Source organism: Homo sapiens, chromosome 3 (genome assembly GCF_000001405.40).
Source record: "Homo sapiens chromosome 3, GRCh38.p14 Primary Assembly".
Taxonomy (NCBI): domain Eukaryota; kingdom Metazoa; phylum Chordata; class Mammalia; order Primates; family Hominidae; genus Homo; species Homo sapiens.
In genome coordinates, this window is record NC_000003.12 from 194,155,360 (window position 1) to 194,163,772 (window position 8,413).

Here is an 8,413-nt window from a genome sequence, read left to right on the forward strand (position 1 = left end):
TAAACCAAAAAGTTAACAGGATAATTTTTATACAGATAAAGTGTTCTGAGGAAAATAAAATAAAGCAATGGAATAGAGTTTGGGGGGCAGTGGAGGGCAGGGACAAGAAGATAGAGCTGGTTAGAAACAATAGTCAACGCTGATCATGGTGGTTCATGCCTGTAGTCCCAGCTACTAGGGAGGCTGAGACAGGAGGATCGCCTGGGTTCCAGTGATTCTCCTGCCTCAGCCTCCCACGTAGGTGGGATTACAGGCGCCCGCCACCATGCCTGGCTAATTTTTGTATTTTTAGTAGAGACAGGGGTTTCACCATGTTGACCAGGCTGGTCTTAAACTCCTGACCTCAAGTGATGCACCAGCCTCAGCCTCCCAAAGTGCTGGGATTACAGGTGTGAGCCACCACACCTTGGAAATATGTTCTCCAAGCTGTTGTCAAAGACTCATTTTTAAAAACGTAAACATTTTGGATATAACAGTAGCAGCGATCCTCTTGGGCTCAGGAGTTTGAGGCTGCAGTGAGCTCTACTCCAGCCTGGGTAATAGAGCGAGACCAAAGGAAAGAAAAGAACAGAAAAGGTGAGGGACGAGGAGGTGAGGGGATGGGAGGGGACGGGAGGGGAGGGGAGAGGGGAGGGGGGTAGGGAAGCAGAGGAAGGAAGGAAGAAAAGAAGGAAGGAAGGAGAAAGAAAGAAAGGAAAAAGAAAAAGGAAGGGAAGGGAAGGAAGAAAGAAAGTTGGTCAAGGTAGTCCTCTTGAACAAACGACATCTGAGTTGGATGATATGCGAATGGTGGAAAAAGCCAACCAGGTAAAGATCTAGGGTGAGAATATTACAGGCAGAGGGCACGGCACAGGCAAATCCCTGAGGCAGGCAGGAACTCAGAGTGCCAGAGGGACTGAAAGGGCATGTGCCTGAAACACAGCGACCAGACAATGTGTTCCAAGTTGAGGCCAGAAAGGCTGGCAAACGTCAGTTCACACAGGGCCTTGAAGGCTGCCAAGGTCAGTTCACACAGGGCCTTGAAGGTATCACAAGGAATTTGGACTTGAGTCTAAGCACGATGGGAAGCCCCTGGAGCAGCGTTGCCTAAAAGAAATAAGATGTACCTGGGTGGCGGAGGTTGCAGTGAGCCGAGACTGTGCCTGTGCTTTCCAGCCTGGGCAACAGAGTGAGACTCCGTCTCAGAAAGAAAAAAAGAAAGAAATAAGATGTGAGCCATGAAGCCATGGATGCAATTTTAAATATTCTAGTAGCTAAATTTTTTAAAAAAGAGAGTAAAAGGTAGAATTAATTTTAATTATATATTATATTTCACCCAATATATCCAGATAGTATGATTTTGACATGTAACCCATATACAACATTATCAACAGGATATTTCACATTCTTTTTTTTTGGTACCAAGTCTTTGACATAGGTTTTGATGGTATCATTACAGCACATCTCAATTCAGAAAGTTGCCCTAGCCACATTTCAGGTGCTCAATAGAGACCTGTGGTCAGTGGCTACCATACAGGCCAGCTCAGCACTGGAGGGTTTAAGGATCATTATCCTCCCAGGTAGGTTAAAGCTGTTTTTCATTTCCTCTTTTATCTCCTACCTATCTGCCATTATCATTCATCAAGAACTTAGAGAATTCCATATAAGTACTTCCCCATCTATCTCATCCTCTTTACCTCAGCTCACGTGTCTTCAGTATTTTGTACATCAGCTATTGCTAAATCCTCTGAATTGGGCTTTTTGCCTTTTGTCTACCTCCTCCAGTCTCTCTCCACCAGGTTACTGGTGTGTTCTGCCAAAGCGGAGACCCCACCTTCTCCCATTTCCTCTTCAAAATCTTCTGTGGCTCCCACTCCCTGCTGAAGTTCAAACACTGAGGCCCCCAAGACCCCATCAAACAGTTCCACCCTGCTTTTAACCTTCTTTCCCCTGCCCCCTTTATGTGACACAGTTAAAACCCAGGTCTCAGCTTGGTCCACTTCATCACACTTCCCCCAGTGACTTATGAAGTAATGTTATCTTATTTCCCAAAATATCCTTAAACACCATGGAACAATTGTAGCCAAACATTGAAAGCTTTTAGGACCTGTTTCTGTTTCTATTTCCACTAATAACAATTTTCCTCTCTATAAAAAAGTGTTTCATATTTGTCTTATTTGATCATTTTTATTTTGTAATTCTTTTTTTTATTTTAAGGGCAATTCCAGTGGTCCACAACATTTGGATATGAGATGCCTACTTGTTTAATTTCTCAGTAGTTTTCATCCCACAAGAAAACTTCTAGCAAAAGTGATGCAAAAAATGTCAGTAATCAGTCATCACACAGGTGCGTGTGTGTGTATGAAAATTGAAGCTAGGCTGGGCGCGATGGCTCACACCTGTAATCCCAGCACTTTGGGAGGCTGAGGCGGGTGAATCGCTTGAGGTCAGGAGTTCAAGATCAGCCTGGCCAACATGGTAAAACCCTGTTTCTACTAAAAATACAAAAATTTGCCAGGCTGGTGGCAGGCACCTGTAATCCTAGCTACTCGGGAGGCAGGAGGATCACTGGAACTCGGGAGGCAGATGTTGCAATGAGCCGAGAACGAGCCATTGCACTCCAGCTTGGGCAACAAGAGTGAGAAAAAAAGAAGGAAGGAAGGGAGGAAGGGAGGGAAGGAAGAAAGATAAAATTGAAGCTAAAGCATACTTAATTGTGTTTGAGCAAACTTTGACATCACTTCAAATTATAAGAAACACTATGGGATATTGAAAATGTAGGCTAGGAATCTTTAAGATCCTCTTTGGCTTTAGTTATGACATAAAAGCACCTTGGCTGCCATCTTTGAAGTATGGTTGAAAGGTTGGTGTTTTTCTTTTTCCCCTCATTTGAAAAATTTAAGTAACTGAAGACGTAATTTTGTAGACTCTACTCCAAAAGAGCCATCAATAAACAATTCACGGGATGTCCACATGCCAGTGATGTTACAAGCTGCTCTTGACTGTTTATGGATGTGTGATTTAACTCCTGAATTAGAATGGAAGTAAATTGAGTCATAGATTATTATTGAAGGAAGTTTGCACTTGCATCTCTAAAAATTAGTATTTAAAGACAAGTGTCTCATAAGTTTGTTCCAGCTGGAGTTCCCATTCCCTAAGTTTGTCTAACAACTTAATTTTCATTTCACTTGGGAGTCTACTTTAGTCCTTTGCACATATTTGATATAAATGAAGATCTAATAGCAAACACTTTTTGCTTGGCTAATAGGCACATAAAGGCAGTTCTCCTTGCCAGACTATCCAGTTTGGGGCTTTGCTGAGAAAACTCACAAACAAAGCTCAGTAAAGCTCAGGGCTCCCCAGACTGCCTAGAGTTCTGTTCATCTTTTTCCTACCTCCTCCCAACACCAAACTTACTGAGCACCTACTGTGTGTTGTGTCTGTGGAAAGACGAATGAGACACTGGGCTGTCACAAGTGTCTCCGGAATTTGAGTGTAAATAATTAAAATAAAATAGGGGCCTTCTGAGGTGATTCAAGCAAAACAAGTGCTTCTTCTTTAAAAGGCTGAGGATTCCAGGTGGCTAGTAGGCAGTGTAGTTGGAGAACTAGAGGATAGGTTAGAAGAGGCTCCAGGGCTGGGTGTGATTGAAAGAGGGTGGGCAGAGCCATGCCAGGTCTGACTGGTTTCATGTGCTAATGAGTCACAGTCACCAATCAGTCTTCATCCAGGAAAAGCTGCCTCTTTAAATCCCCTGGAGGGGACCAGGTGGAGCCAGGAGAACCTGACCTGGAGATGGGCCCTGCTCCAACCCACTGTGACCTTGGCAATGTCACTCGCCCTCATTTAAAAATGGGAGCGTGGGATCATATGGTTCCTCCAGCTTGAGACCAGAGTCCTCTGAACTGCTGTCCCTGGATGCCTGCCCCTTGAATGGGGGTCAGGCTGTGCATACATTGTGAACTATGGAACCATTTATGCCAGATACTGCAGTTAGAAGCTGAGGCTTATGTTCATGAGTCACAGGCATATATGTTCTGTCCCAAGACACAGAACCCCTTTAAGCCTCTACCATTTATCCACCCGTGTCCCCAGTCTCTGCCCAGTCCTGAGTCCTACCTCTTTTGTCTCCTCCCTGACTGGTTCATGTTTTAATCATTCATTCAGTGAACACCTTTAGCACCTACTGTATACTAGGCCCTATATTGGGTACCAAGCCCTATTCCTGAACCCAGTCTGGGGTGAAGTTTCTAAGTGGAGAGGGAGAAAGAAAAGGCAGGCAGGGGTCCCAGAGACTGTGCCATTCCATGCGGTCAGGTCTGTCCAGGAATATGACATTCAGCTACCACCCTAAAGACAGCTCTCCAGGCCGGGTGCAGTGGCTCACACCTGTAATCCCAGTACTTTGGGAGGCCGAAGCAGGCAAATCACTTGAGTCCAGGAGTTCTAGACGAACCTGGGCAACATGGGGAAACTCCATCTCTACAAAAATACAAAAAAATGAGCAATTAGCTGGGCCTGGTGGCACGCACCTGTATTCCCAGCTACTCGGGAGGCTGAGGTGGGCAGATTGCTTGAGCCCAGGCTGCAGTGAGCCAAGATCGCGCCACTGCACTCTAGCCTGGGTGACAGAGCGAGGCCCTGTCTCAAAACACAAAAGAGACAGCTCTCCAGCTCTGGAGATAGGAAGGCCCTATTCCACTATGTGTGGATCCCTCTGCAGCTGCCACCCACTTTCTGGATTTTCTCCAGATTTCCTAGAGTGAGGAAGGAGGGGAGTTTCTGTGCAGGAGTGCCCTGTCACGTCTCAGCTTCAGTCTTTTGAAATTAAATTTGTGATTCCTCACCCCTTACATCTCCCCCTGGCCTGGCTCACAGGAGTGCCCTCCCTTCCCTGTCCAGGTAAAACATCTTCAGCCACTCTGGCCACCTTATACTCAAGTACATTTGGGTGCATGGGGCCCTCTGAGGAGGCAAATGACCTCTGGAGTGGAAGGGCCAGTGTGATCAGGACAAGTGGAGGCGGCACTGGCTGACCCGCTGAGGACTGAAACCACAGCAGAAAGCTGCACTGGGACGGGGAGAAGGTTTGGGGTGTGTTGGAGGGAGGCCCCTGGCAGACTCAGACAGTAGCTGAGTGATCTGGGCTTCAGGATTCAGGTTTACCTGACAGCGACAGGTAACCTGTTCTCTGCACCTCCAAGCACCTCCTGCCCCTCACTATGGCTCTCTGTACTTGCTATGAACTGGGAGAGGCAGTTCTGGAATCTAACCCATGCTCCAGGGAGGTAAGGCGAGCTCTCCGGGCCACTGACAGAGCAAGCCAGGCCCTCACTTCTGCTGGAGTGAGGCGCTCCCGCCATCCCCGGCCTGTCCTGGAGAGTGATGCCTCCCTCTGGGGTGCTGGCCTTTGCCTTCAGTCCTTGGGGAGGCCACATCTTACCCACATTTTTCTTTGACCTGAAGACTGTTCATGTCCATAATTAAGGGGGTGATGAAGGCAGGGAAAGGCAAAGTGGAACAGGGATCCCAGAGCGTCCCAAAGCTGTTACAACCTCTGAACAAAAGAAGAAGAAAGTTATCTCTGAGCTAGGGTGAGGAGAATTGGTCAAAGGTTAAAGGCAGAGATGAATTAAGGTGAGTGTGTAGCAGTGGGTGTGGAGAGAATGAGACTGATTTACAGTCTTTTGAGGGCAAAAAGTTAGAATCTTTTCTGTCTTCAAAGCCTGATCCCAGGGCTCAGCCTGAGTATCTCTCTCTCTCTCTCTCCACCTCCCTCTCCACCCCCCACCCCATACTCCTTTCTCTCCTTCTCCATTTGCCAAGCTTCTCAGGACCTGGCATTTACTTCTGCCAAGCTGTAGGTCTTCCTCCCCACTCCAGGAATTTCACAAATAAATCCCTGAGAACAGAGCCTGCCTCACAACAAACAGCACATGGGTTTCTGCTCAGCCTCTGTGGCCTTGGACCAGCTTCTGGGAAAGAGCCCCTGCCTGGCTACAGGCGCAAACACAGCCCTGCCTTTCACAAACATTCAGTGGTGAGAAGCAGTAGGGAGGAACCCCAAGCCCCCAGGTGAAGGAGCTGCGCCCAGGCACGCACGGTAAGATCAGGCTGTGCCGGGGCCACGGCTGCCCCCGGCTGAGCTGGGATCCAAGGCACAAGGCTTCTCCCTCAGGGGACTAGCCACTCAACTCAGCGACGTTGATAAAGTTATTTTAGCCTCCCTAGACTTCCCTTTCCCTGTTTTTACATAGATCAGAGGTTTATGCTGCTTAATTCACAAAGAAACTACAAAGAAAAAAACTGATTTGTTTTGAAGCATTCTGTCTTCCTGAGAGGAACGCAGGTTCTAGCAAACTCCTTGAACAGACACGGATACATATGGACACACATTCATGATGTATTGACCTGTCCACACACTCACACTGCCCCATTCATGGGTTCAGCTGCAGCTCTCCAGGTATAGGGACATTGGTGCACTGCAGTGTCCCCTGCTGTGTGGTGCTTGGAGCAAAGCTAATGCTCAATAAATATCCACCGAATGAGTGTACTTGACAGTATGTGTGGGCATCCTCTCCTTATGCCAGTCACTGTGCTCGGGGTTGGGGGACAGCCCTGCCCGCTAGTTGCTCACAGTCCAGGAGGGAGACTTGCACGTACACTCACACAGCCAATGTAGAGTATTAATGGGCACCAGGACAGAAAAGAAAGGGGAGGTCAGAGCAGCTCAGAGTGGGGAGATCCCGGCTCTGTCCCATGGTTTGGGGGTTTGGGGGACACCTGGGGAGGATGTCAAGGGGAAATACCTCAGAGCACTGAAGGAAGAGGGAGATGAGGTGGCTGCAGATGTCTTCCAGCAGAGGGAAAGCATGTTCCAAAGCCCTGAAGTGACACAGTAGAGTCAGGAGACCAGGAACTGCTTCTGGTGGCTGGACCGTAAAGAAGGAGGCAGCATAGTGAGACCCCATCTCTATAATCAAATAAAAATAGCCAGGCATAGTGGCACATGCTTCCCACTAGTCCCAGCTATCCAGGAGGCTGAGGCGGGAAGATCATTTGAGCCCAGGAGTTCAAGGCTGCAGTGAGCTAGGATCGTCCCCCTGCACGCCAGCCTGGGTGACAGAGCAAGACTTTGCCTCTAAAAATAGTGGGAAGGGCTAGGCGGTGAGTTGTGGGGCCGCAGGCTGGGTGAGGAGTGCTGAGTCTGCAGACGGTGCGTGCCTACTTTCAACAATCGCTATCCTTCCCTCCAGCATTCCTCTTAGACTCTTAAAATGTGCAGCTTGAGTATCTTTTATCCTAAATGCTTGGGACCAGAAGTGTTGTGGATTTCACATTTTTTCAGAATTTGGAATATCTGCATTATGCTTACAGTTGATTATTCCTAATTCAAAAATCAGAAATCCAAAATGTTCCAATGATATTTCCTTTGAGAGTTATGTTGGTGCTCAGAATGTTTTAGATTTTGGAGCATTTCAGATTTGAAATTTTTGGATTCAGGATACTCAACCTGTCATAGTTTTACTTTTCTCTCTGCTGATTGAGAAACTATATATGCATAGAAGAGCTTACAGCCCTCTCCCAGCAACTCAGAGACAACCCACTTCTGACGTCAGTCTTCACACTGGGGTGCATCAGTTGGAAAGCATTACTTAGGTGACCATAAAATTTATTATGTAACTGGTTCACTTTAGGGAGTGAAAGGGGTTATTACCAATAATTAAACCCTGGGGAAAAAAACAAGAACCAGGACTATTCTGGGCAAACCAGGATATATGATCACTCTAGGTAAAGATATTGGGTTGAGGCCGGGCACAGTTGGCTCATGCCTGTAATCCCAGCACTTTCGGAGGCTGAGGCAGGAGGATCACTTGAGCCCAGGTGTTCAAGAACAGCCTGGGCAACATGGTAAAACCCCATCTCCACAAAAAAATACAAAGATTAGCCGAGTGTAGTGGTGTGCGCCTATAGTCCCAGCTACTGGAGAAGCTGAGGCAGGAGAATTGCTTGACCCCAGGAGGTTAAGGCCGCAGTGAGCCATGATCATGCCACTGCATTCTAGCCTGGGCAACAGAGAAAGACCCTATCTCAAAAAAATAAAATAAAATGAAAAGATTTGGGGTTTCCATGAAAGGATTGTATAGAGGTAAGTGGTGTCATCAGATTCACATTATTGGAATTGAGCTACCCCCTCTCACCCTAACTTCTTCATAGAACAGTGAGTGTAAGAGGACAGGATGGTTTGGATGGTCTCTTGAGGCTCTTCCCAGCTTCAGCCTCTTCTATAAATCTCTGTTTGGTAGGCATTTGAACGGCGAAAAGGGTTGAATAAAATGTAACCTCAAGGAAGTTTTGGGGGCAAACTGCAATTTAACCTAAACCGTGAAGATGCATACCAATATCCTGTGTTTTTAGCTGAAACCCTATAAAA

General features: G+C 47.1%; 1 long non-coding RNA gene across 1 annotated transcript, besides 1 other annotated feature; it reads right to left on the bottom strand.

Annotated features, from left to right (window-relative positions):
- Positions 1 to 4,435: 4,435 nt before the first annotated feature.
- LOC107986172 (uncharacterized) lies at positions 4,436 to 6,926 on the bottom strand. Its single transcript, XR_001741081.2, has 3 exons — positions 6,789 to 6,926; positions 5,423 to 5,536; positions 4,436 to 4,461 (listed from the first exon to the last, which is right to left on the bottom strand). It is a non-coding gene; the product is annotated as an uncharacterized LOC107986172 (long non-coding RNA).
- Positions 5,625 to 6,556: an enhancer, noted in NCBI's record as "H3K4me1 hESC enhancer chr3:193878773-193879704 (GRCh37/hg19 assembly coordinates)". NCBI's record gives its function as "activates a minimal SCP1, AML or CMV promoter by ChIP-STARR-seq in naive H9 embryonic stem cells {active_cell/tissue: H9 hESC(naive)}" and the evidence as "EXISTENCE:reporter gene assay evidence [ECO:0000049][PMID:30033119]".
- Positions 6,927 to 8,413: the final 1,487 nt, after the last annotated feature.